Below are 27870 nucleotides of genomic sequence, written 5' to 3'. Positions count from 1 at the left end.
GGCATCCAGTAGAGGGTACTGATGGTATGCTCTGCCCATGAACTTGCTGGTTGGATGGACTTCGAAATCCTAAATACCCACTGTGGTCCCACCTTTTCTAGTGGCATTGATGGAATAGAGCCTTCCAGCTTAAGGAAGAGAAAGAAGTAGCATCTCTAACATCTCTCTTTTGGACCTCTTTATTTCTCTCTTACCGAGATCAACTAGCATTTCCTCTTGCTGCAGCTGCACAGCCCCCAGGCTCCTGGCTTTGTTTATACAAACATGTGTGGAATGCTAGGGACCAGCAGGACTGGATTCCTTAAAAGCCTTAGTAGCTTAAAGGGCTTTTACCTGCTATGTCCAACACGTTTATTACGGCTGTTCTCTGCCAAGAGTTTGAAATTATTAGATATCTCAATTCCCACTGGCATTTTTTAAAATTATTTCCAGTTAAGCCTTCAATTTTAAAATGACTCACCAGCATCTTGTCAAATCTGTGTATTTTGAACATACTTTTAGGTGAAATGTGTCATTGTGTGTATCTGGGAAATGTCAGAACTGTGTAAGAAATCACGAGAACTTCTAAACAGTAATTTTAGCTTTATTTTTGAATCACCTCCATTTCTTTCCTTCTTTGCATTTCAAGGTCAAGATGTGAAGTGGGAACATCTTAGCATTTAGATGTGGCTAACATCCGCATGCCTGTGTATTTGGGAGTGTGACAATAAGTAAATGTGATGTTCTTTTGCAGAGTGTGTCTGTAATTACCTGGGCACCGTGCAAGAGCACTGTAACGGCTCTGACTGCCAGTGCGACAAAGCCACTGGTCAGTGCTTGTGTCTTCCTAATGTGATCGGGCAGAACTGTGACCGCTGTGCGCCCAATACCTGGCAGCTGGCCAGTGGCACTGGCTGTGACCCATGCAACTGCAATGCTGCTCATTCCTTCGGGCCATCTTGCAATGAGGTGAGGGGCTGCTGCTGGGGATGATGCCTTTATGAGCTCAGGTGTCAGCCCATGGTGACTTTGCCCCAGTTAGAGCAAGGCACCAGGGCACACAGCTTGAAACACAGCGTGGCCTGGATCTTAGCCCTCATTTGTACCCCTTGGCTGGGTCTACATAACTGTGCACAGAGTCCCCATCAGACACATCCATAGCATTTCAGTAGAGGGTCCCAGCTGCAGATGCAGACTCACTTAACAATAGACAAGGGTGTGCTATTTCTCTTCAGTACCTGGGCGCTGAAGCAGACTCTTTTCTTAGCTTCTCGAAAGGAACCAATTAGCCATACCCAGCATTGTAAAAAGTGCTGTTGTTTCCTGACACATGCTAAGGAGGGCATACTCCCTAAGTCAGGCGAGTCAAAGGTGGCCCAGGATTGTGGCTGATCTGTGAGGATAAAAGTGAGGAAATATGTAAATAAATAATAACATGCCACAGACCTTTCCAAGCCCTGTTGCAAAAGAGCACTTAGATGCTGGCATGGGGCTCTCGACACCTACGATTGAAGTGGGAGTCCCTTTTCCTAGTCAATGGAGACCTTCTCAGGTAAACAGTTCATTCCTACTTCTAAGTGGCAGCTAGAAAAAAAAGATGACAACTGGCTTCTGGCCTGAAGCCTGCTTGACCAAGGTCTGTGTTCTGGCCGCAGTTCACGGGGCAGTGCCAGTGCATGCCTGGGTTTGGAGGCCGCACCTGCAGCGAGTGCCAGGAACTCTTCTGGGGAGACCCCGACGTGGAGTGCCGAGGTGAGTTGTGGGCGTTCTCGCATTGACTTGATCAGAGAGTGGAGGGAACTGGGGTTCTACAAGAGCCTTCTGTAAATTATAAAACACAGTACAAATTAACGTGTCTATAAGAACCTGTATTTAATTGCAAAATAAATTAACACTGATTGTTTAAAAAACAATCTAACAAATCTAGCCCTGCCCATAAGTATAGGTAGTCAAGAGTGGATGTGCATACTCTCCCGGCCTCACACCCTGGGGTAAAGTTTGTTTCTGTGTGTAAGCACACACACACACACACACACACACACACACACACACACCACAAATACACACAGAGCTGCTTTTTAAAATACTTTTAACCAAGGTGGGACCATGTGAACCCTATGTTTGGCAAAGTGACTTTTTATCCCCTCTGAACAGTATTTTGTGGCCAACTTCCTTGATGGCACAAGAAGAGGTAAATGGTTATCCTAGTAAGATCACTGGATTCAGTGGATCAACTAGACTCTGTTGACAGTTTAAGCTCTTGGCGTATGTGTGTAAGATAACATCCCCACCAGTGAAAACTGGAGGGCAATGTCATGGAGACTTCGTGCACAACAAAGGGCTCCAAGGTCAGGGGCTCCAAGTCAGTTTAATGTGAATAAAACCCAGATTTTCACCTAAGCTTATGATTAAACAAACAAACAAAAAAAGATGGAAATGACATTTTCTTACAAACAAAAACTTGTTAAAATTATGTGAATCATCAGGATTGCTTGATTTTTATGGTATTGCAGTTTTTTTGACCTGGAAAATTATTTTTCAGATCTTAAAGTCAAAATATGGAAAAGACTGAATAGGCTGTTGCAACTCTGTTTTTATATTCTTTCTTTCCTACTTGATTTTCTTCCCTGTTTTTAATTGATCATTATGGATAAAAATTTTCTGTAGTTTCTTAAGTGCTCTTTCGTATATTTGTTGCACATCTGAAATTATAGGTCTCTGTTGGACTCTTGAATTTTTTTTTTTTTTGAGACGGAGTCTCGCTCTGTCACCTAGGCCGGAATGCAGTGGCATAATCTCGGCTTACTGCAACCTCCACCTCCTGGGTTCAAGCGATTCTCCTGCCTCAGCCTCCCAAATAACTGGAGTTACAGGCAAGCGCCACCACGCCCGGCTAATTTTTGTATTTTTAGTAGAGATGGGGTTTCACCATATTGGTCAGGCTGGTCTCAAACTCCTGACCTCATGATTCACCCGCCTCGGCCTCCCAAAGTTCTAGAATTACAGGTGTGAGCCACTGTGCCTGGCCAGGACTCTTAAATTTTTAAAATGACCGTTTTCTTTTTTTGGACACAACTACAGCAAGAAATAATACAGATCTTCAAGTTGGCAACTCATTCAATATCTCCTACAGAAGGTCAGGAACCTAGAAACTGTGTTCCTTCAGGGTGCAAACCCATGTGTTCCTTAACAGCAGAAAAAGGTCAGTGGGCAAGACCAGAACAAATTAGATATGATTTGTTTTTTAAGTTGAGGCTTAGCCAGAAGGGTTTGTATGGACCTCTTAGATTAAGGTTTGTTTCACAGTGGGGATAATGTTTGCTATGTCAATAAACAGGTACTTTTCTTTCATCATTCTCCAAATTTGGTTCTTAATGAGATCTGACATCCCCTCTTCCATTAGAAGGTATTGAAATCCAGTGGACCAGTTTCTCCAAGATGTCTCTTGAAAGTAAAACTCTGCTTAAAATCTGTTTTTTCCAGGGCTCTAATCACTACTCTGTTAAATTCCTCAAACTTGTAATGCCCCAAGGCTTGATTTTTTCCAGATAATGGCTCTATCGTTGCACATACCCTGATTCTGTCAGCATGTGTCATTGGCAAAATAGCTTTCTCTGCCAAAGCTTTCTGACCTTTGGCTCCATCTTAGCTTTGTTAGCAGGAAAGGCCTGCTACCCAGAGTCAGAGTCAATCAGAGAATTGTTCATGTGGTCCTTAGAACTTTACTCCTTACCCTTTTATCTTTTCTTTAAACTTTCGCCTCTAAATCTGCCAGGGAAATTGTGACTTATAGAAACCTTGTCAACTTGTTTGGGTCAAAAGTTAGATCCTGTTTTAGAAACTCTGCAAAGAGTGAGATTCATGGCATCATTGTTCGCCAACTTCTTTGTTCCTTTCATCCAGAAGAAAGGTCAGCTCATTACGTAAGAAACTTTTCATCAGGAAAAGCAAACAACCGATAAAAAACAGAAACTAAGTATTCTGCAAGGAAACCTGGTTTAAGGAGAATGTATTGAAACTGGATATGTCTGTTCCTTTTTACTCCTCCCTTTGGCATTTCCTTTTTTTTTCTGTAAGATAATCATAGAAATTTAGTTAATGGAGGAACTACAAAGATCACATGGCTTTATGGTTTGCCTATTATGCTGGCCAATCCCGGTGGCACGAGGGCAGCAGGGATGCAGACAGATGAAGAGGTCCCATAGCCAAGAGTGTAGGTCCTGGAGCCAGACTGCCCACATTCACTTCAAGCAATTGGTACTCCTGTATTAGAAGAAAACAAAGTCCCTTCTCATCTCCTCACCCAGTATACTCCTCTTTTTACTCAGCTTGATAGGAATCTTTCCAGTCCTCTCTGCATTTATATGTATACATCATTCGTATTCGTGACCCTAATAATGATACCCAGTCAGCTCACACCAGCAAGAAAAAGTATTTTTCAAGCCCTCTGGAAGCATTGGAAGCTCCAAGTGAGCATAAGTGAAAATACCCTAAGAGATACTTCCAGGTTCTAGATCCAGGTGTTTCATTTTCCCCTTGTTTTCCCACTACATTGTCATCTCTCCAACCTTATCTTTAGTTTTGTTTTTTTCATGGAAGACCAGAAAGCCCCTTTCCCCAAAGTGTTAAAATCTGGGGTGAAGGCAACTGACCTCATTGCATACTTTGGCAATTCAAAGTTATAAAATGTTAGCCGGGCACGGTGGTTCACGCCTGTAATCCCAACACTTTGGGAGGCCAAGGCGGGCGGATCACTTGAGGTCAGGAGTCCGACACCAGCCGGACCAACATGGTGAAACCCCATCTCTACTAAAAATACGAAAATTAATCAGGTGAGATGGCGCACACCTATAATCCCAGCTACTTGGGAGGCTGAGGCATGAGAATCGCTTGAACCCAGGAGGCAGAGGTTGCAGTGAGTGAGCAGAGATCGTGCCACTGCCCTCCAGCCTGGGTGACAGAGCAAGACTGTCTCAAAAAAAAAAAAAAAAAAAGAAGAAGAAGATATAAAATGTTGGGGCATCTTTATTTGGGGTGTTAAAGTAGATACTGTCTCTCCTTTGTGCCCACAGTGGCTGAGCTGGGGTGGGGACATTTGGAAATTTGGGAGGAGGGGAGTATTTTGGGTCATCACCATAATGGGGTCATTGCTATAGGCACTTGGTATGCAGGAGCCAATAATAATAAATGTCCCACAGTGCTTAAGGCAGTCTGTCAAACAGAGAATGTGTCGGATCCTCAATGCTTTTAGCACTCTTTGGAGAAAGCTCATAACCTACAAAGCACCCAGAGAGAGTGAGAATTGATTTGAGTGGACAATGGGGGATTGATTCATGGCCAGCTATGGGGTCTGGTGCAGACAGGGTGGCAACAGGAGTAGGACCAGTGTGGCCTGTGAAGGCAGGGGCCAAGATGCAGAGGCAGACAAGGCTCTTGGTTATGTTTGTGCTGGAATGCATTCACGATTAGAAACAGGAGCACAGGGGCTTTCTGAAGGGATGGGCCCAGAGATCAGCAGGGACAAGAAGAGGTGTCATTCAAAATTAGATGGAACTATGCAAAAAGAACATCAGCTCTTTTCTCCAGTTATGTAATTGCTTGACAAATATGTTTTCAGTTGAATTGGTTGTTAGAGGGCATAAATTTAGACTTTCTGATGCCAACTAGCTAACAATATGCTTATAGAAAGATTTAAGTCCTAGCTAAGTATTCTCCTTATGGAAAAAAAGAATGTAGTTATGTAAAAGACAAATGAGTTGAGCCTCCAACTTACAGATTGTTGAATGTTCCTATTGTCCAGGCGGGTTGGGGCTGTTGGTCGATGGTGCCAAGCCTGAACAAGCCCACCACTGTGCTGGGATGGAGAGGGAATCTCATCCACCCACCATGAACGTGCTGGAGAAAACAGCCTGGAGCGCTGCATTGTCCTCCTCAGGAGTCAAAGAGTCACAGGAGGAATCTTTCTGTTGATTCATAGATAGCAAAAAGGAAGGGTAAAGTTTCCATTTGGGGCCTCTGGCTCTTGGAAAAGGGCAGTGTCTCTAAACCCAGGCAAACGGTAAATGTGGGGCATAGGCAAGAGGGTCCGGGTAGTGGCCACTTCCCCATCATGCTCGTTTCTCATTTTGTGTTTTTTAGTAGAAAAACACAGTGTGTTCTTTTGCCCAGACATTAATCTTTAGAATGCCTGTATTTTCTAATGTTGGGATTTCTTTCACAACCACCCACCTTAATATTTCCATTGTGACTCAGAAAATCAGACTTCATTCGATTCTTTAGAGAACTATAAATACTGTTGTCAGTAGAGTGAAGTCTTGTCTTATGTAATCCTAATTACAGAATGTGTTCTCAGAAGAGGTAGGCTAGACCAGAGCTGGGCAGACCACAGGCAGAGGCCAAATCCAGCCCCCTGCCGATAGTAGCTAATATAAGTTTTACACCCACTTGTTCATGTATTTTCCCTGGCTACTTGTGGGCAGCAATGCCAGAGTCAAGTCATCATAACAGAGACAGAATGGCCTGAAAGCTGGATTTACTATTTCAACTTTTACATTAAAACTTGATGACCCCTGTGCTAGACAGGCAGCTCATTTCTGCAGGTAAAATTATATTCATCTCCCAACTTTCATTCCAAAATTGAACCTATATTACTGAGGCCAAAAAGGGAAAAGGATAAAAGAGAATGTCAGAAAAAAGAAAATCCCATGTAAGAAATAAAAATTATTTAAATTGCCCTTGCTTTTAGTAAATAGAAATGCCTAAGTAAAGTATCAGTAAAATTCTTGGCATTGCAGCAGATCCTGGAGTCCCACGTTGCTTTGAGGCAAGGTCCACGGCAGAAGAAAACCCCATTACCTGAATCTTAGGGTGTAGCAGTTTCTCTGTCCCAAGGCAAATTTAAGTTTCCAACAAAAAGGAGGATAATCAGCCCAGTACTGAGTGACCAATGGTATAGAGTGGGGAGTGGACACAGAGAGAACAGCTGATACTGTTCTGCCACTTGCAGGCTATTTGGGGACATGGGGTACATAAAATGAAGTAACAAGATAGCAGAAAGTAAGTGGCACAAACTTTTCAGTTGTCAGAAGAGGGCAAGATCAGTAGGAAATGGAGTCATTAGGGAAGGGTTTGCAGAAAAGATTAGCTCTAGTGGCCATCTACAGAGAACGTGCTGAGTGCCAAGCACTTTTAGGCATATTATATAAGTATTCTTAATTTTATCCTTGCAACAAAGAACCTATGGGGGTAAGTATCATCTCCATTTCACACTTGACTAATCTCAGACTCAGAGAGGTTAAGGGACTTGCCCAAAGTGAGGAAAGAACTGGGATCTGAAGCCAGGCCTATGTGGCCCTGTGTCCCAGCTGTTTCCACAAGCCTGGGGGCTCCTCATTGACAGCTGGTATTTAGAGAGGAAATTATCATCCAAGCTAAAGGACAACACAGACAACATGAAGCAGCATGGCTCTGGGAGGTGCCCTCGGGAAACAGTCTCAGCTGGAGAGTCATGGAGAGATTTGGTTTCACCAGATTGTGTGAAGCCTTCGGTGCTGGGCCATTAAGGGTAGACTTTGTTCAGTGGGCACAGGAAGGTCTGGAGGAGGAGAGGGAAGGATGTAAAGGAAGCAGGCAAGTTAGGTCTATGTGATAAATGGGTACATAGACTATTTCCCATTGTGGCATTGACTTGCTAGTGTTTTCCTCTGGACCTTAGTATCTTTAAAATCGGTACAATAGCTTTCATTTACCTACTTCTTAACAATTATGTTTGAAATGATAAGAAAACTTAGTAAAAATAGAGGAAGCCTACTGGCCACAGAACAGAGAGTGTGTTTACAGATGAAAGTCAAATTATTATGGCTTGTTAAAATGAGTATCTCATTTAAAAAATACTATTCTTCATCTTCATGATTTGTTCATCTTAAAGATTAGGCAACAACTTTTGCTATGTATGCTCTCCTTTCCAAGAGAAAGTTTCTGATTCTCTGCCAAGTAATCCCATTTCTTAAAATAAGACTGCTTTATCTAGGTCATTTGGATTCTGATTCCTTTCTCTTAAGAGAGAAGGAGCCCACTGGACCTCATCAGCTGCAGCCTGAATAGTCAGTTCACAGTTTTTCAGATCCTGGTGGGTGTGTGAGATGATGGGAGAATCTCCTCCATACATTAGTGTCCATGAAGTTTTACTAACTTGTCAAGTGTGAACTGACCTTTCTGCTTCAGCCACGTGAGTGTGGGAGTTTCACTGAAAATATTCTTGAAGTGGAGGGGGTCTTTTTACAAGGTTGTAAAATGTGGGCCTTCTGGTGCCTGCCTCTTAGGTGACTCCAAGAGAAGCAATTCTGGAAATTCAATAGCCAGGGAAGGAAGCACATGACCAGGGGCTTCAGCTTGAAATCAAAACCTGGTACATTTGAGACTAGTTATTTGGTGCCCTCCCGGAGAGTCAGGCCCAACTTTTTCAATAATGACACTGCAATCCGGTCATCTGTGAGATTTGATGGTTTACTTTTCAGGTGGGAGAAAGGAATGTTGGTCAGTTTGGCTGAACTGGTTGTTGACTTCTGGAGAGAGCCGAAGCTCTGCTAGCTCATTGGAACTCTTACCCAGGCTAATTTCCCTCGGCCAGATAAAGAGGGAAGCCTTATCTGCCTTTTAAGTCTTTCAGGGTTGGGCTGTTTTCCCCTTAAAGATGCCTATGACAGAATGGGAGCAAGACATGTCTTTGGCAACGAAATAAATGAAAAATGATCACAGAAATTAAAAATAAATCAACGTATGCATGCATCCCTTGCCCCAAGCATGAATCCAGCAAAAACCTAATGTTTAGGACTGAACAAAGGTATACCTTTGCATCATCTATGGGAAAGAAATAATTGTCTAAGCAAACTATAAGCATATGCAACTCTGCCTCAGTTGTGTCAAGTCTAAGGGAGATGGGTGAGTAGGCCCCAGAGGGCTGCCTCACCCTGACCACTGGCTGGTAGACAAGGTAAGTTTTATTACAAATGGCATCACTTCTTCCTCTGTTACGTAAGTCCTGAGATTTGTGCATCAGCCTACATTGCTGAACTTCCGAAGTCGTGATTCTGCTCCAGCTCCACCTTTTGAAGGGTATCTCTTTCTCCATCTCTCACACAGACACACAGATACACACACACGCACATGCTCTCTTTTTTTCTCTAATATACAGAAGGCGGGCAGAAACAGCTGGGAAAGTAACAGTCAGTGCTCCACAAAACGGGGTCGCGTGACTGTGAACATCAGTATCTCCTGGGAACGTGATAGAAATAAAAATAGTTCTGGGCCCCACCCAGACCTACTGAATCAGAATCTGGGGATGGGAGGAGAGTAGAGAAGCAATCTGTTTTTTATGAACCTTCCAGGTGATTCTGATACCTACCCAAGTTTGAGAGGTGAGGACCCAGGTGACTCGGGGGTAACTTTTAGCTTTCTGGAAGATGACTAAATTTTACCAAATGATAATGGAAATGTATTCCTAAAATCTAAACAACATAAACTCTTAAGGTACTAAGTTATTTAAGTTATTTGTAAGTTATCTAAGTTCTTCCTAATCTCAGAAATCGATTAATGTAGTGGTTTTCCCAAGCCTTTCTCATTATTTCTCTTGGGTGTCACTGGCATTGACTTCCACTAAAAAAAGATCCCATGGTCAAATGACTTTGGCATACATACAACTGGATAAAAACAATATAAAACAGTTTTTCCTGCAGAACTCTTCTGAGTCTGTAATATGCTGACACTTGTTTTTAATCTTCAAGATAAGGATACAGAACTTTTCATCATGGGATAGTTTTTTCAAGGAACACATCATAGAACGTATGGTCTACGGATCACCATTAAAGTTATCCATGGTTTGCCTAAACAGCTTCCTGATTCATTACGAGAATATTCCCCAAACAAGAAAAATGAAACATACTTTAAGTACCTGGAAAGGATCTGTTTTTTGAAAAGCATACACCCAAGTTTTACTTTTGAAATCCTAAGGTCTTGGTTTTGAAAACCCCAGGCGCTAAGGAAATTACATGTTTTAAAATCCTAAAGGTTGAGGAATTAATATTCTAAACTTCAAATTTTTGAATAATCATGACGTTATTGGCAAATACATATAAATAAACATATAACCGGAACACGTTTTTCCCCTTTATCCAATGGAAATACGATCAAGCATCACTCTTAGCAGAAGACTACCAGACACTTGTAGGGACACGAAAAGTGATAATAAAAACAATTTATTTATTGAATGCTTGCTATAGACCAGATGCTCTTCTAAGCACTTTGTAATTATTTTATCTTGAAAGCAGTCCTGTATTTATAATCATTACCTCTTCTTACAGATGTGGAAGACGTGACTCAGTTTCCTGATTACCCAGGGTCACATAACATGTGTGGAGAAGGCAGGATTTACCACCTCAGTCCGCAGTTCATGCTCTTAACCATAATGCTGTACTCCTCAAACCTGCCACTCGAGAGCTTGGAATGTAGGGGGAGAACAAAGACAATAAAAAGATAAACTAGCAATACAAGGCAGGATGTGGTGAGGGCCAAATGAATGGGCCACAAACACACACCTCTGGGTTGAAAGGATGGTGATGTTATAGCAGATCTCAGGACCCTCAGTATAACTGGTTCTGGGAGATGTTCCATTAGAAAGTTTTTCAGAGGAAGGCCGGGCGCGGTGGCTCACGCCTGTAATCCCAGCACTTCGGGAGGCCAAGGTGGGCGGATCACAAGGTGAAGAGATGGAGACCATGCTGGCCAACATGGTGAAACCCCGTCTCTACTAAAAATACAAAAATTAGCTGGGCATGGTGGTGCATGCCTGTAGTCCCAGCTATTTAGGAGGCAGAGGCAGAATAGCTTGAACCCGGGAAGTGGAGGTTGCAGTGAGCCGAGATCATGCCACTGCACTCCAGCCTGGGAGACAGAGTGAGACTCTTCCAAAAAAAAAAAAAGTTTTTCAGAGGCAAATCACAGCTATTGACCCAAGAGTGGCTCACACCTGTAATCTCAGCACTTTGGGAGGCCAAGGCAGGCAGATCACCTGAGGTCGGGAGTTCCAGACCAGCCTGACCAACATGGAGAAACACCGTCTCTTAAAAAAAAAAAAAAAAAAAAAAAAAAAAAAAAAAAAGCCGGGTGTGGTGGCGCATGCCTGTAATCCCAGCTACTCGGGAGGCTGAGGCAGGGGAATTGCTTGAACCCAGCCAGGAGGCAGAGGTTGCAGTGAGCCGAGATCGCGCCATTGTACTCCAGCCTGAGCAACAAGAGCAAAACCTCCGTCTCAAAAAAAAAAAAAAATCCGAGAAAGCATGAATCTGTTGTGCTTTGCCACAGTTGACATTGCACTTCAGGAGGATTATTTTCTTTTATGAAGGTATGTAAGTGTCCTTGCATGCCTAGACTAAAATGAGGTTAGGGCTTCATTTGGCAAAGACGTTTGGATTCTGATTGCAAGTTAACCCTGAGTCCGATGCTGAAAAACGAAAAATGGTTTAAGATGTGCCCCTGCCCTTGGAGTCCACAATCCAGTTAGGGAAATAAGATAGTATATTCTTTATTTATTCCTGTCTTTCCTCAGAATGGGTGGAAGCCCAGCGATAAGATGTTAGCATAAGGCCTTTCGTAATTCAAACCCTGTATAAATACTTTCAAATGTCAGATGTTGATATAAAAATGATTTGGTCACCTGAAATTTGGGAATCTAAGCCAGGGTTCAAGGGCACAGCCACTGTGCTAAGTAATCTCAGCCACAGCTACTGGCCAAGAACACATTTTGTCCTGTACGGCACGTGATTTTCCTGTGCCATTTGGCTTTGCATGAGGTGCCAACCCTATTGGGCCTGTGAGACGCTGAGACTGAATGGCTCCCAAGATCCCTGCTTGTAGTACTGGCAGTGGTCATCACAATGGCAGACACCCCCAAGTTAGATTATACTTAGTTGAAAGCCTTTAAACTGGATACTTAGAATTCCTTTGGGTTTTGTTTTGTTTTGATCATGTTTATTGCATTTCATCAAGTATGTTTTGTTGTGAGATAGAGTCAGGTACGTAAAGAGCTTCTCATTTGTGATGTATCCGATGCCAGGTGGCACATTATCAGGATGTAACCTGGATTGTTTGTACAGACATGGTCTGTGGGGAAATCCTAAGTAAGGGGGAGGCAAAGGCAGGACGGAGGTGAAGAGTATAGACTCCGGAGTTGCAAAGAACTGAATCAGAATTCTGGCGTGGCCTTTTCCTTGCAGTGAGACTTGGGGCATGTTACATAATCTCTCTGATCTCTGAGTTCCCACATCTGTGAAATAGTGATTATTATAACACGTATCCCATAGGGTTATTGTGAGAGTTAAATGGGATCATTCATATAAAACATTTCTGTTTAAAGTATTATTACTGCTAAGAAGGGGTTAGCAACCACTGAAGTCACGCATGTGCTAGAGGAAGCTGCTACAGTCTCTACCTGAGCCATTGGTCAATTGTTGTCGATGGTTGACACCTTCCCATTTTCACAGTGAAGTGAGTATTCTAAATGCCACATCTTGTCACTGAGGTTCATGATTAAGTAGATCAGCTAGCATTGCTTATTCCCTTCTAGCCTGTGACTGTGACCCCAGGGGCATTGAGACGCCACAGTGTGACCAGTCCACGGGCCAGTGTGTCTGCGTTGAGGGTGTTGAGGGTCCACGCTGTGACAAGTGCACGCGAGGGTACTCGGGGGTCTTCCCTGACTGCACACCCTGCCACCAGTGCTTTGCTCTCTGGGATGTGATCATTGCCGAGCTGACCAACAGGACACACAGATTCCTGGAGAAAGCCAAGGCCTTGAAGATCAGTGGTGTGATCGGGCCTTACCGTGAGACTGTGGACTCGGTGGAGAGGAAAGTCAGCGAGATAAAAGACATCCTGGCGCAGAGCCCCGCAGCAGAGCCACTGAAAAACATTGGGAATCTCTTTGAGGAAGCAGAGTAAGTAGTTAATGAGCCAGAGGAATTACTCATAAAGCTGAAAAAATATTGTGAGTTAACAGCAAAGATTTCCTGGCATGGTGCTTCCATCAGGAGGTTTTGTTAGTCCTGTGGGTGAGAACAGATTCTGAGCCATTTATTTTCCAGCAGTCTTGACTGGGCATTTGGGTGAGTGAACGTTGGCACATCAGTGGGGACCAGCCTTCTGGAGGCTGCAGTACAGAATATGCAAGCATTATATTCAGTGCTCCTCCTTGCAAATCATGTTCTAAGTCAGTAAAATGGGAGGAATGCTGGATTTAGAAGACAAAGATCCATAATTGAGTCTTGGCTCTGATGCTAGGCTTGTGAACTTGGATGACTCAATTCCTGAGCCTGTATTTTCTCTCCTGTGGAGAAGGGGTAGGATAATATATGCCATTACCTTATGAAGTAATGAAAGGATTTATATATAAAATAACAACAGGATTGCAGAAAATTATAAATTAAGTATTGCTACTATGGGGGAAATTCCATTACCTCAAAATAAGACTGCTTACTTCAAGTTTTTTCTGCTTCTCCGCCATTAGTCCACCAGACCAGTGCTTCATTCATCTAGTTATAACAGCTGCTCTATGCTGAAAAGTCCTCATCCCACCCCTTCTCTAGGTAATCTTCCCTCTGATTGGACAGTGTTTGTTAGTGGAAGCCTAGAGAATTGACCTTCTCAAGGATCATTTATCTACCCTTTCTCCTACCTCCCCTCTCTTGCCCCTAAACTTCCCAACTCCTTTTGCCAAAAAGGAACCCCCAAAACAGCACAATAAGACCTAAGTGCTAAAGGACAAAAATAGAAAAGGGTATGAGGCATCTGTGCTTCCCTAGATGCTATGGTTTTTTCACTGCAGACTCACCATCTAGGCCTGAGGGGACTGCTTCACAGTTAAATCCTGCACACTGAGGTGTTTATATGACGAAATGACAGTAACATTTTTTGTGTGTGATGAGACTTTAATCAGCACCTTTAAGAAGCCAGAGGGACTTTTCATCTCATACCAGGCATGAGTAGCAGAGGACAGCTGACATTAGCTCAAGCGACTTGAAGGAGGTCCTTCCTAGACCTAGATTTAAAGTAACTGGACCTTGATGTCAAGCCTTGGGTTTTATGCCCAAGACCATGTAGCTGGCCAGAGTGTTAGGAAACGTCTGATGTAGAGTGACAATGCATTTAGTGAGGCATTTTACCTCACTGAAAAGACTAAGCCTCCTAATGTGCAGAGATCACAGTTTTGGCAGGCCGTGGTCCGAATGCAAGCCCATTTAGGAAATGATCCTTGGCCTGGGTCTTAGGCATCTCTGGGAGGAAGAAAAAAATCTGGTGTCCTTTGAGAGCCTGCCAGAAGAGAGATTACATTCCCAAAACAGCTCTGTTTCTACCGTCACTATTCATTTAACTAGACAGATTGTAATAATCACAGGAAAACTAGTTCCATTACTCTTTTTTTTCAACATACTATCCAAGGATACATGTTTTAGGAACCAAAGTGGCCTTATTTTAAAATACGATGTTAGATTTGCTTGTTTTAAAAAAAATTGTATCATTTTATGAGACCTGAGAAGAAATGAAAGCCTTCTGTGAGTCATATAATTAATAAAAGCAAAGCACTGAAAAAAGAAACTATGTATATTAGCCTCAGGAAAAAAAGGCACTGAAATGTAATTTAATCTACCATTTTAAACCATCCCTTTAAGTACTTTTTCTTTGAGTTGGGTTATAGTTTTATCTCAGCCTTACATATCATTTTTCTAATGGCTCCCAACCTTTCAGCATCTTTACATTTTCCTGGTTTTTTATACTATTATATCGCCAAGAAGACAATTACATTCAATTAGGTGAACCAGTAATACCCAGAGGTAAAATCTGCTCAAATATTACTTTCTTTACAATACACATACAACCCTACCCACACCCACCTGGAGCACACTCGCATGTGCACACACACACCCATATCCACACTATGTACACAATAATATACAAATAGATGTCAAAAGTACGGCTTTGTAGGTTTGAAAGTACAGAACAAAATGCAGTTTAGATTCCAAATTAAATACTGTGAAAGCTAAATCTTCTTATTTCATTCTTAGTAGATGCTATTTTCTTATAAAAAATAAAAAGGCTGTTGGTAGAAGGAGGCCCCTCTGACGGAAGAGAGGAGTGTATGAAAGCTGATACTGGTGGCTCCTGTTGTCTTTGTGGCAGGCTATAGGGCTTCCCCTCTGCATGTTCCATCTTGAAGGAGATCCCTGAGGCTTAGGGAAGAATGTTTTGGGCTTGTGGCTGGGAGGCCTAATTGTATAACTGGAGTCATTTATGTCTTCAGTTTTCACAATTGTAAGGGCTTGAAGCTGCCTGTGAATAGAGCCAGAACTCCACACTCTGACCTGTGCTCATCTTACAGCAGAAATTTGGAATCCCTTAAATGGCTTGTCTGCCACAACTCAGCTGAGTGGTACTTCTGTGTTTCTCTCAAAAGTCATTGAACAAAGAAAAATTGTTAGATTTAATACTATCTGTTATAAGGAAAATAAAACTAGCACTTAGGGATGAAATGTTACAAATTACTGAATTGGTTTGAAATTAGTAATGGATACAGTACTAGTAGAAAATATGAAACGTGAAAGTTCTCCCTTGGGTTTATTTTATGTAAGTAAGCTTAACTTTCTCTTTACAGGAAACTGATTAAAGATGTTACAGAAATGATGGCTCAAGTAGAAGTGAAATTATCTGACACAACTTCCCAAAGCAACAGCACAGCCAAAGAACTGGATTCTCTACAGACAGAAGCCGAAAGCCTAGACAACACTGTGAAAGAACTTGCTGAACAACTGGAATTTATCAAAAACTCAGATATTCGGGGTGAGCATTTTTTGGTGCAAATAGTCCCAGACAATGGATTTAACGATATGTCTAACGTTTTAATATAGCACTTTTGGGGAAAAAAAAAAGTTTTCTAATAAATTTTAAAACTTTTGCTCATCCAGTTTCTGGCACAAATGAGGATCAAAGTCCCCATTTTACAAATGTGGGACTTGGGCACAGAGAACCTAAGAGACATAGCAAAGGTCCCACAGAGTGAATGGCAGTAGTTGTATCAGAATGGTATCCATTTCCTGATTTTTTTTTTTTCCCTCCAGTTAGTAGTTTAATCCCCTGGCCTTTTCTTGGAAGGGGGTTCTTTTGAATAGTTAAGGTATTAATACTTCTGCAAATCCTTTCACATTCAAGAATGCTGCTTGGTCAGAAAAAAACTTTTGCAAATCATTATTTATATCATAGACTGTAAAGGATCCTCAGCAAAAAGTGAATGTAGAAATATGTTACATCATACTGTCCAACTATCCATACTGTTTTATGCATGATTGCTTTTGGACTAAAGCTAAAAACATGTCATGCTGTTATATATAATACCGTCATCCCTTGGTATCCATGGGGGATTGGTTCCAGGACCCACTGCAGAAACCAAAATCCACAGGTGGTCAAGTCCGTTATATAAAATGGCACTTGCATATAACCTATGCATATCCTCCTATATACTTCTTTCTTTTTCTCTCTCTCTCTTTCTTTCTTTCTTTAAGAGATGGGCTCTTGCTATGCTGCTCAGGCTGGTCTTGAACTCCTGGACTCAAGTGATCCTCCCGTCTCAGACTTCTGAATAGCTGAGATTATAGAGGTGAACCACCACACCCAGCTTTACTTTTTTCTTTTTTTCCCTTCAGTATATTTAAAAGTAATCTGTAGATTACTTACAATACCTAATACAATGTAAATGCTATGTAAATAGTTGTTATACTTTATTGTTTAGGAAATAATGGCAAGAAAAAAGTCTGTACACATTCAGTACAGATACAACCATTTTTTCCAAATGCTTTCCATCCACAGTTGGTTGAATCCACATATGTGGAACCTACAAATATGGAGGGCTACTATATTAGTCATTTGAGTGGATCCGAATAAAGGATTGAGAAAAGTCATCTAGTCATATAATCTTCAGGCTGCCTGAAACCAGCTATTTATAAAGAACTGGATGTTTGCTTGTGTATAGAAACAAGATTGCATGATTTTCTTAATTTTTCATTTTTCACCCAGATGTTTGCCATACTCGAGCTGGAGTAGGTGCTAATGGGACAAAACATATTCATTGCTCATGAAAACTGTACTTCATAAATATTTTTTCTTGAATTTTAAAACTTTACAGTAAATTTAGGACCCGAAGACACCAAATATAGACACTGCTTGGGGAGGAAGCCTAGTATGATGAGGTTAACTGTGGGCAATTTCATTTCCTACCCTAGGTGCCTTGGATAGCATTACCAAGTATTTCCAGATGTCTCTTGAGGCAGAGGAGAGGGTGAATGCCTCCACCACAGAACCCAACAGCACTGTGGAGCAGTCAGCCCTCATGAGAGACAGAGTAGAAGACGTGATGATGGAGCGAGAATCCCAGTTCAAGGAAAAACAAGAGGAGCAGGCTCGCCTCCTTGATGAACTGGCAGGCAAGCTACAAAGCCTAGACCTTTCAGCCGCTGCCGAAATGGTAAGGTTTGGGGATGTGGCCTTACTGCTATGGTGCCAAGCAAAAAAAAAAAAAAAAAAAAAAAAAACAAAGAAAAACAAACCATCTTTTGTCATTATTACAATAATTTGCAAATGAATCAGCAGGACTGAAACTCCTAGGCTGAGGTCTCTGGATCCTGGAATGGGGTATCTGTAACCAAGACAGATTAAAAGCAGCAGCATATGGGTTTCCAGCCTTCCCCTCTTCTGTTTCTCTGTGGTCCTCAACTAAAGAATGAATCATGACTATTCTCCCATACTGTTTTAGCTACTCAGTGACACCGCACTGAAACTTGATCCTTTTTACACTGTGGACATTTCTTTAATATTTTTTTTCCTAAGTAGAGACAGGGTCTCACTACATTGCTCAGGCTAGTCTTGAACTCCGGGTCTCCAGCAATCCTCCTCTCACCTCAGCCTCCTCCCAAAGTGCTGGGATTACAGGCTAACACCCCAGCCCACCCCCACCCCCGCTTTTTTTTTTTTTTTTTTAAAGAGATGGAGTCTCACTACGTTGCCCAGGCTGACCTCAAACTCCTAGGCTGAAGCGATCTTCCCACCTCACCCTCCTGAGTAGCTGAGATGACAGGCATGTGCCACCACACCCAGCTTGGACATTCCTTTTTTAGTTTGTTCTGATTTGAATTATAAAACCCATCTCAGTGTAGGAATTCAGAGTCATTCTAGAAGGGGCTTCCATTAAAAATTAAAGGGAGCAAAAGAATTTTTTCACGGGTATTAGCTATTATGTTCCTTTGTTCCAGTAACTTTACCTGGTGAAGATTAACCCTGAAACCAGCCTAGAAAGTAGATTCATTTCCCAGAAGCTTTTAAAAAGGAACTCTGGAGCCAAATGAAATTGGGTTGTGAGTTTAATGAAAATCAGGCAGAAGGCCCCAAAAAAGCCTAACTGAGCCTGTTTCTTCCTCTTCCTTCCTGTGTTTTCAAGGAAGGATACCTATGTGAAATAATTTGGAGGGTATTTTTTATAGACTAAGGTTTGTGTTCTCTTAGCCCAGAGACACAGAGAAAGTTAAAGATGGAAGGTACATAGGCGCAGAAGAGTTCAAACTTCATTACAGCTTTGTCTTAGTGATGCTTCCTCCCTCCTCTCATCACTTTCTCTGAAATAGACAAAATTGGTCACAATATAAGACAGTGTTTATTGATGCCTGCTAGGTTTCATACTCATTATCTTCTGAAACTTTATAGCAAATAGGGAGCAAATAATCTGTCATTTATTAAATGGAAAAATAAAAGATGAAGAAAAAAGAAAAATGAAGGCTTAGAGCAATGTGTAAATTGCAGCTAACAGGAGACAAAGTTATGAAGCATGAAATGCCAATTCTCTCCATCTTTCCCTTCAGCATTGATTCCTTCCTTACATATTGTAGTTAAAAAAAAAAAATCAGTTATCACAAACAAGTTCTGTGTGACCTACAAGAAACAGCTAAGCATGCTAAAGGATTTTTGTCTTGAACCGGAGGCATCTCCGTGGGCGGCAGGGAGATGCATGGGCGGTGGGTGGGGTTCGGGGTTCCTCTGGCCTTTCAAATGTGTGCCCTTCCCTGTGCTTGCTTTTCCACCTGGTAAACTACCTAGGGATTAGCAGCTGCTTCAGTTCTCTTACTGTGTTTTTGTCTTTGTTAATGATCCTGTGAGAATTCTTTCTGTAAGTTCTTTACTGCCATTTCCTTGTGTAGAGAGAGTTTTGTCCTTTTGTTTTTCAGGTACTTCTAGTTCTGTATCTTTGTGGATGTTTAGCTAGAGCCATACTGTGTTTTTTTTTTTCCATGTCTGCCCCATCTGTTGAAACAAAACAGATCTTCTATGTGTGCTGTCAGATTGTTTTTAGAAAGCAACCGAGGTTTTACACTTATGTTCTTAAGACTCATGTTTTACAGCATGCAGAATACACTTTATTTTCTGAAGCTTTTTGTTTTTGTAAGCCAGATAAATGACTTATTTAGTTGTAATTTGAGATATAATGGAATTATAATTATCTTAAAATTATTAGGCTAAATAGTTGATTGTATTTATTTAAAAACTACTTTTTTGTACTTTTTAATAACAATACTTGTTTGGGAATATTCTGTTAACTCCTTTTCACTGCAGTAAATCTTTGTCTTCTTTTCAGTATGAGAATTTCCACAAACAGCTCTAAATGCAATTTTCTCCCTGCTCAGCCTTTTCTATCATATAGCACACTTGTATTATAATTTATCAATTTGCATTTGTATGCCATGACCAAGTGGTGATCTTTGAGAGGTTTTGGTAGGTAAGAAAGGAGGACTCTATGCATGTGTGATGGCAGTCGGGGGTGGTAATTTGGGAACACTTCATCTACCTTTGTTCCTTTGTTTGTACTGTTTTCTTTAACCTGTGGAATGTTTTCCCACTTCCCCTGCTCAAATCCCACCAGCCAACAGCTTCTTCAGCTACAACTGTAGCATTCCTCTGCAGTCTCTCCTTTGTCTACTTTCTTTCATAGTGACTGCATCTGACCTATTCTTGGCTATTTTATGTGGAATGATCCAGTCCTAACTAGATGGGAAGTTACTAAAACGCTAGGTAATAGATCTTTTATGTCACCATATTTACTGGAGGAGTTAACATGGTGCTGGTGCTGGTCCCAAAGATGGTTCACAATAGGTTTTTTTTTTAAACTCTAACTGGTTAGAAAAAAAGGAAGGCATTCCTTGGCCCTTGCACTGGCAGAATTCAACTTGATATAGCAGATGTTTGCATCCTGGGCAGAGCTCATATAGTATTTTAACTCATTTGGGCAGAAGATATTGATGAGTTGTAAACTTCCATTGTTTCCTTGGAAATAAGCAGGTTAGTTTACTCCTAAACTCTCTGCTCCTCTCTCCATTCTGTCTCCCAAACACTGTTTTCAAGCACCCTTGCTGAGGACCACCTACACATTCTCTGGGGCCACCCAGGCCCTGCACAGCTGTTTTGCTGCAGCAGATTCACTATCCGAAGTATTGTGCCTGATCCTTGGCTTGTTGCAGACCTGTGGAACACCCCCAGGGGCCTCCTGTTCCGAGACTGAATGTGGCGGGCCAAACTGCAGAACTGACGAAGGAGAGAGGAAGTGTGGGGGGCCTGGCTGTGGTGGTCTGGTTACTGTTGCACACAACGCCTGGCAGAAAGCCATGGACTTGGACCAAGATGTCCTGAGTGCCCTGGCTGAAGTGGAACAGCTCTCCAAGATGGTAACTCAGTGGATGGCCTCAGTTTTTGTTATGTATGTTTGCTTTCAGCTGTGGACTAAAGGATCTGAAAGGGAGAAATCAATTCTAAATGCTAACTGAAATGAAAAGGGCATATCACAATCAAATATGAAAGTTCATGTTTCTGTGAGGTCAGAGAAAGAGATGGGGAGATTTTCTTCACAGATAAAGAATTTGCTTTCTCCTCACTCAACACATGCTTTAGAGCAAGATGTTTAAATCTTATACTGGATAATTTGAGATAGCCATCTTACTTTTCTGACTCCAGGGTTATAAATACATCCAGCTGTATGACAAAAACTCTATACTAAGCAATTGAGCATTTATTCTTCTAAAGTGACACACACTTTTTAAGTATTTATGTGGGCACCTGAGAAAAAGACTCAGGACTATTTTATAGGCCAGGAGTTAAAAAACAACTTGAAAAATTTTAAATGCTAGTTCTATTTATATCAGAATACTGTTTAGGAATCTCTATACTGAATACTTGCAGTCTGTAAGATACAATACTTTGTTGAATGGGAGAAAGTTGTTTCCCAGACATATGATTCCAAGTACATAGTTTTTCAACATCATTTTTGAGCCATTTCCAATATTCTGGTCTCCTTTAGAAAGAATGAAAGTCTTCCCTGGGTAATTTATTCTTCATATTTAGGTCTCTGAAGCAAAACTGAGGGCAGATGAGGCAAAACAAAGTGCTGAAGACATTCTGTTGAAGACAAATGCTACCAAAGAAAAAATGGACAAGAGCAATGAGGAGCTGAGAAATCTAATCAAGCAAATCAGAAACTTTTTGACCCGTAAGAAATTTTTTCATTTTACTTTTAGACATTTGTTTCTGTGTGATTCTCTGTTTACATTTTAGATAAAATCCATTTCTGTCAGGGTACTAAGTGACATTTCCAAATAAGAAAAACGTCCGTATATTAAATGTTTCCACTTCTTAAACTTATATATGTGTATCAAATAACTTTCTCCAATGTTACGCAGATACAGACACACCTGATGGGATACTCAGGTAGCCAATCAAAAGTCAAATATTTACATTGAAAATTGAACGTGGAATTTGTTAGAAATTACGTATAGTAATTTCTAACCTTAAAGAAGTGGAGTTTGTTATTTTGGCATTGCCCCCAAAGCTTTGTAATTCTATTATTTACAGGATATTATACCTATAGTTAGTTAAGAGTGTTGCTAGTCACAGTTCAAGTGTTACCAGTAAAGATGGTTTTGGCTGCAAATTACAGAAAACTCTCAAGTGAAAGGGACTTAATCAAAAAGGATGTTTATTATCTCACATCTTAATAAGATATCCAGTAGCAGGATAGCTTCCTGGGTCTGCGACCCACATACTTTTCATCTTTCTACTCTACCATCTTAAGCATATCAGCTTTGTCCTCTAGCTCCTCATGGTTACAAGGTAGCTGCCAAAGTTCCAGACATCATATAAAGATTAATAATGGAAGAAGAGACCACCTATTCCTTGCATCTTTTTAAAAAGGAGGAAGTCTTCCCTAGAAGCCTTTAAGCAGTCATCCTTATAAACCTCACTGGCCAGCAATAAGTCACATGCCAATGCATAAATGTCACTGGAAAATGGAAATGCGATTACAGTAATTCACAAACTAATATTTAATGCTGGGTTGATAATTTTACCTGACTTAGAGGCAGGTACCTGAAAAAAAATCAGTATTCTGTTAGCAAGAAAAAAGGCATGGCTAATAAGGAGTCAACAGTATTTGCTAAGGATATCTTAGGTAATATTTTATGGAAGCCATCATTCAAGTACATATTTTATTTGAATAAATCCTCTGGGGTCCATTTTTATGTTCAATAGTTTAAAACATAAGCAAAGCTTGAAAGTAAATGAGGATCTGACGTATTTGAAGCTTAACTTCATAAACTTTTTTTTTCACCATCTTCCACATTTTACATTTGAAACTCCTTGGCTTTGTTGACAACCCATTATTCCGGTTCTCCTGCTTCTATAATTTTCTCCCTTTCTATAATTTCCTGAATCTAGATCATTTGTAGGAAATATCAAATCTCCATATCTGCATTCACAAGTTTCTGAGCTATTCGTCCAACCTCAATTAAAAGATTTCATTGCCTTTAAGTCTCAGCTTTAAGCTCTGGCCCTCTATGGTTTTCCACAATGTTCAGATTCACTCTGCTATACTTTCCCGTAACATACTCTGCCGTTCCTGTCTCCCCATCTGGAATTGTCCTTTCTTCTTTCAAATTCTATTATCCCTTAAAATCTGATCAGCTCCTCATCTTCCACGAAGGTTTCCCTCACTACCCAGCCTAAAACAAATTCTAGTAGTACTCAATTGTCTGCAGTTACTTTTTTGTGTGTGTAGGTCTCATCTCCCCTCAAAATCCCAGATAGATTATAAACTCTTAAACAGGAAGTTAGTGTCTCTTGGTGTGTAACCCCACCATGCTAGTCCATAGTAGATGACCAGTAAGTGGTTGAATGAATGAACCATCTATTCTTTTCACCTCTTTTTGGGGACATCTTTGCTTTTCACAGAGGATAGTGCTGATTTGGACAGCATTGAAGCAGTTGCTAATGAAGTATTGAAAATGGAGATGCCTAGCACCCCACAGCAGTTACAGAACTTGACAGAAGATATACGTGAACGAGTTGAAAGCCTTTCTCAAGTAGAGGTTATTCTTCAGCATAGTGCTGCTGACATTGCCAGAGCTGAGATGTTGTTAGAAGAAGCTAAAAGAGCAAGGTATCTAAAGACATGGCATCTAAGGGGCTTATTTTGTGTATCTATCATGGAGTAAAAAGTATCTCTTTAACCAATGAAACTTCTAAGAAGGACCTATGCGAGTCTCTCTGGGTCATTTCAGGAAGGCTATTCTTTAAAGAAAAGAACACTGAGAGTACTTTTTTCATGTTCAGCAACAATATACTGTCTCATTATTTTTTACTCAGCAAAAGTGCAACAGATGTTAAAGTCACTGCAGATATGGTAAAGGAAGCTCTGGAAGAAGCAGAAAAGGCCCAGGTCGCAGCAGAGAAGGCAATTAAACAAGCAGATGAAGACATTCAAGGAACCCAGAACCTGTTAACTTCGGTAGGCATACACAATCATTACATGAATGGGAACACACCTACATATACACTTACCAGAAAAGTACATTTGTTATCTATGAACAGAAATTCTTACAACTCAACATTAAAGGATTCCTTTAATAAATCTAAACTACTCCGTTAGCATGGATGCTAAAAATAAGTGGAGATAGGTTTTCAAGGAATAAAAGGACTCTGATTCAGACACTGGACCATTACGTCCCATCTCATTTTCTCCCCCACAAAGTCTGAGAAAGATAAAAACTTCTATTCTTGGGCGGGCATGGTGGCTCACGCCTGTAATTCCAGCATTTTGGGAGGCCGAGGTGGGTGGGTCATTTGAGGTCAGTAGTTCAAGACCAGCGTGGCCAACATGGCAAAACCCCTTCTCTACTAAAGATACAAAAGTTAGCTGGGCATAGTGGTGTGTGCCTGTAGTCCCAGCTACCTGGGAGGCTAAGGCAGGAGAATTGCTTGAACCGGGGAGGTCGAGGTTGCAATGAGCTGAGATCACACCACTGTACTCCAGTCTGGGCAACAGAGACTCCATCTCAAAAAAAAAAAAAGCACTCCTATTCATTGAGGAAACAGCATATACTCTGTTCAGTAGTATGAAGTATAATAATTTTAGAAAACTGTCCTGATGTTATAAAGCAGCTTATCTGGTTAAGAAGGCCAATGTCTCAAGATTTTGGTCATCAAACATTTTACTATATAGTAGTTTTGGAAACTATGGGAGAACAGTCAGTCTGCTTTCAATACCCAATTCTAGAGAAACCTAATAGAGCACTTATAGCTAAACAATCTGTTCTGTTTAGAATGCATGGAAAACTTAATGTTTTTTATAAGAAATATACTGTGACTACCAGATATTAAAAGTACTCATTACGAATTTTTCATAGGGATCTAGCACCTTGCTCTAAAAATCCTCTTTATCTCTTAAAAGAAGTAATGCAAACATAATTCCATTAAATTCTTTTGTTTCTCAGAAAGTTAATGTTTTCGTTCCAATTTTACGAGTTTTTAAAAAATGAAGAAAATTGATGAGTTATCTAATCCCTATACAGGTTCTCAGAATATACTTTGAAATTAAATGCTCCCATACCCAGCATTGTCAGCCTTCTCAGGCCAATCCTCCATGTGTTTAAAACCTGGGAAGATGAATTTTCAACATGCTTTTCTTACCATTAGTTGGTAAAAACCTGTGTTCCCCTATTCTATTGCTGTCAGTTAAATGAAGGCCAATAATTCTGTCCATTTTCCTCCTTAAATTTCGAGTATCAATAAGACTTTTTCTTCAGGCTATTTGTTCAAGTTTAGAAAAATTATGTTTTCCCACCAGACTATAAATATTTTGATGTTTCGATCTCTAGGTTTTTCCATTTTCTCAGTTTGCTGTTAATATTTTAGTGAATATTATGTCAGTGACTGTAGAAATTATTGTTTTGAAAGCCAGGTGCAGCAGTGTGTGCCTGTAGTCCCAGCCACTTGGGAGGTGGAGGTGAGAGGATCACTTAAGGCCAAGAGTTTGAGACTATAGTGCACTATGATCATGCCTGTAAACAAACAGTCACTGCACTCCAGCCTGGGAAATATAGCAAGACCCTGTTTCTTGAAAAAAATTGTTCTGAAAAGCAAATTAGAAAATACTGAATTATAGGTGAGATGTGGCTTGATGATGCAAGTTAATAATTGGGGTTCTGTTTTTCAGGGGCCCTAGGGGGCAGGAAGTGTTTTAGGTTAGTAACAATAAGAAACAAAGAGAACCTCTAACTAAACTGTGTTCATGAAAGCTTATCAGAAACAATTCACTCAAACTTTATCTTCTAAGAATTATAATTTCTAAGAATTTTATTCTAATTAAAGGGTCCTTAGGTTTGAAATATTTACAAATTTTAGCCTATGTCTTATACTGACCCTTATTAACTTCATTATAGCAGTACTGTTATTCAGTTAATTCTATGTAATTAGACCCATCCTTGAAGATCATTTTAAAGAAAAATTGAGTGCTCAGTGAAATTGATTCTTTTGTCATGGGCTCAACTGCTTACTTTGGCTAGCTTTTAAAAGTCAATGTTTATTGATTCTACTTTGAAAGGAGATCAGATGTGGATCCTCACCAGTTGCCCAGATATTTTTTTTTCCCTAAATAACTTTGTGTATTTAGAGTTTACAGCTGTAACGTTCCCAGACCATACATCATCTCACAATTCTATAGAAATTCAAAGAACATCCCTAGTCTCCATGTCTTCAGTAATTAGCTGAAATCTCCACTACTAGAGTTTAACATTTATTTTCCCACTCACATTAAGTTGGAAATTTATGTGGAAATCCCTCTTCGCACAGCTGCTTATTTGTGAATGTTCTTTAGCCAAAGTTTGCAGGTGTCCTTAAAATGCTTTCTCAACACATCATGCTCCTTGGGGAGGTGGGGTTTTTTGTTTTTTTTTACTGTCAGAAAAAATTTTACATCAATCTCAGCTTAGATCATCAGAAGTACTGAAAGAATGAAGTGAATATATGAAATGTAGCAAAGACTAAAGTTAGATACTTCATGTAACTTTTCCTGAAATATTCTTTTTAGTAATTACTTCTTTTGGTCTAGAGCAAAATGGCACAGCAGACTTTTAAATCTTCCTCCAAACTTGTACTCATAGTAATTCCATTTCTTAAACTAATGTCTTGCTGGAAAATTGACATGCTTTTAGATTGAGTCTGAAACAGCAGCTTCTGAGGAAACCTTGTTCAACGCGTCCCAGCGCATCAGCGAGTTAGAGAGGAATGTGGAAGAACTTAAGCGGAAAGCTGCCCAAAACTCCGGGGAGGCAGAATATATTGAAAAAGTAGTATATACTGTGAAGCAAAGTGCAGAAGATGTTAAGAAGGTACGTAAATCTTTGTAATTTCAGAGCTATGTTGTTAAAGGAGCCACCAGTCTCCTCCTTGCCTGCCTTAGAGTAAGGGACATGGACCTAACAGAAACAGAATTCATCAGAAATATCAAATGACCTGTTTTGCAACAGCCGTCTTTAGAAGTGTGGATGGGAAAGAATATGGAAATATCTAATAAGTATGACCTATGTCCTCAAATCCAAATTTGGACAAGAGTTTAGAAGAACGGAATTAACTTAGGGGTAGAAGTCTCAAAACAGGCTTTTTTTTTTTTTTTAAACCAACTATATTGACAAAAACCAGTCATATTGAACTTTTATTTCTGTGCGGTAGTCAGTTAAATTCTTCATGGCATATAGTAATTATCAGGCCATTTGAGAATATTTTACAAGCAGGTTGGAACAGAGAACAGGTAGTAGGAAACCAAATCTTATCTCTTTGAGACTCATTTTGAATTAACTACCCCTCACCTCTCATTCGAAGGCACTATATTTTGCAGAGAAAAACTCACACAACCCAAATGTTTAATCAGAAGCCATGTAATAACTGAAACACATGTTCAGTTTCTCAATAATGCTTATTTCTAAAGAGAACATTAAAAACTTGGTGGCGCCGGGGTGGGGCTTAAAACCATTGAATCACTGGTCCCCAACTTTTTTGGCACCAAGGACCAGTTTCCTGGAAGACAATTTTTCCAGACTCGGGGGTGGGGATGGTTTCAGGATGAAACTGTTCCAGCTCAGATCAGGCATTAGATTCCATAAGGAGTGCACAACCTAGATCCCTTGCATGCACAGTTCCCAATAGGATTCGTGCTCCTATGAGAATCTAATGTCACCACTGATCTGACAGAAGGTGGAGCTCAGGCAATAATACTTGCCTGCCCACCCAGTTCCTAACTGGTCCGTAGGCCTGGGGGCACCTGCATTTACTGACCTAATTTCAGTATTTAACTCCCTACTATTCAAAAATTTTCTGGAAGTTACTGTAGCTTTTCGGGCATTACGTAAGAGTAACTTTCCCTACCTCTCTCTAGGTTGGGAAAGAGAACAAAACAATGAGAAAAGTTCACTGCCACAATATCAGACA

The 27870-nt window shown here is 40.6% G+C and overlaps 1 protein-coding gene across 3 annotated transcripts in view, besides 4 other annotated features; it reads left to right on the top strand.

The window, feature by feature from the left end:
* LAMB1 (laminin subunit beta 1) overlaps positions 1-27870 on the top strand; it is a 79363-nt gene that overhangs the window by 50205 nt on the left and 1288 nt on the right. Inside the window, exons 23-32 of one of the 3 annotated variants that reach the window (NM_002291.3) lie at positions 734-948; positions 1635-1731; positions 12599-12968; positions 15680-15864; positions 17301-17542; positions 20580-20783; positions 21457-21601; positions 23338-23545; positions 23752-23893; positions 26598-26774. In NM_002291.3, the coding sequence (NP_002282.2) occupies positions 734-948; positions 1635-1731; positions 12599-12968; positions 15680-15864; positions 17301-17542; positions 20580-20783; positions 21457-21601; positions 23338-23545; positions 23752-23893; positions 26598-26774 (1985 nt within the window). Of the gene's footprint in view, positions 1-733; positions 949-1634; positions 1732-10337; positions 10527-12598; positions 12969-15679; positions 15865-17300; positions 17543-20463; positions 20784-21456; positions 21602-23337; positions 23546-23751; positions 23894-26597; positions 26775-27870 lie in introns of those variants that run through there. The other 2 variants (XM_047420359.1, XM_047420360.1) reach the window with 2 other exon arrangements.
* Positions 4510-6240: an enhancer, noted in NCBI's record as "VISTA enhancer hs2081". NCBI's record gives its function as "enhancer in: dorsal root ganglion[4/9] | limb[5/9] | trigeminal V (ganglion, cranial)[6/9] | cranial nerve[5/9]" and the evidence as "EXISTENCE:transgenic organism evidence [ECO:0001131][PMID:17130149]".
* Positions 19226-19871: an enhancer, noted in NCBI's record as "OCT4-NANOG-H3K27ac hESC enhancer chr7:107573531-107574176 (GRCh37/hg19 assembly coordinates)". NCBI's record gives its function as "activates a minimal SCP1, AML or CMV promoter by ChIP-STARR-seq in naive and primed H9 embryonic stem cells {active_cell/tissue: H9 hESC(naive and primed)}" and the evidence as "EXISTENCE:reporter gene assay evidence [ECO:0000049][PMID:30033119]".
* Positions 19872-20517: an enhancer, noted in NCBI's record as "OCT4-NANOG-H3K27ac-H3K4me1 hESC enhancer chr7:107572885-107573530 (GRCh37/hg19 assembly coordinates)". NCBI's record gives its function as "activates a minimal SCP1, AML or CMV promoter by ChIP-STARR-seq in naive and primed H9 embryonic stem cells {active_cell/tissue: H9 hESC(naive and primed)}" and the evidence as "EXISTENCE:reporter gene assay evidence [ECO:0000049][PMID:30033119]".
* Positions 20518-21165: an enhancer, noted in NCBI's record as "H3K27ac-H3K4me1 hESC enhancer chr7:107572237-107572884 (GRCh37/hg19 assembly coordinates)". NCBI's record gives its function as "activates a minimal SCP1, AML or CMV promoter by ChIP-STARR-seq in naive H9 embryonic stem cells {active_cell/tissue: H9 hESC(naive)}" and the evidence as "EXISTENCE:reporter gene assay evidence [ECO:0000049][PMID:30033119]".

The sequence above is a fragment of the Homo sapiens genome, chromosome 7, assembly GCF_000001405.40.
Source record: "Homo sapiens chromosome 7, GRCh38.p14 Primary Assembly".
NCBI classification, from domain to species: domain Eukaryota; kingdom Metazoa; phylum Chordata; class Mammalia; order Primates; family Hominidae; genus Homo; species Homo sapiens.
The sequence above is the reverse complement of the archived record's forward strand: the minus strand, read 5'-3'. Positions and strand labels throughout refer to the sequence as shown.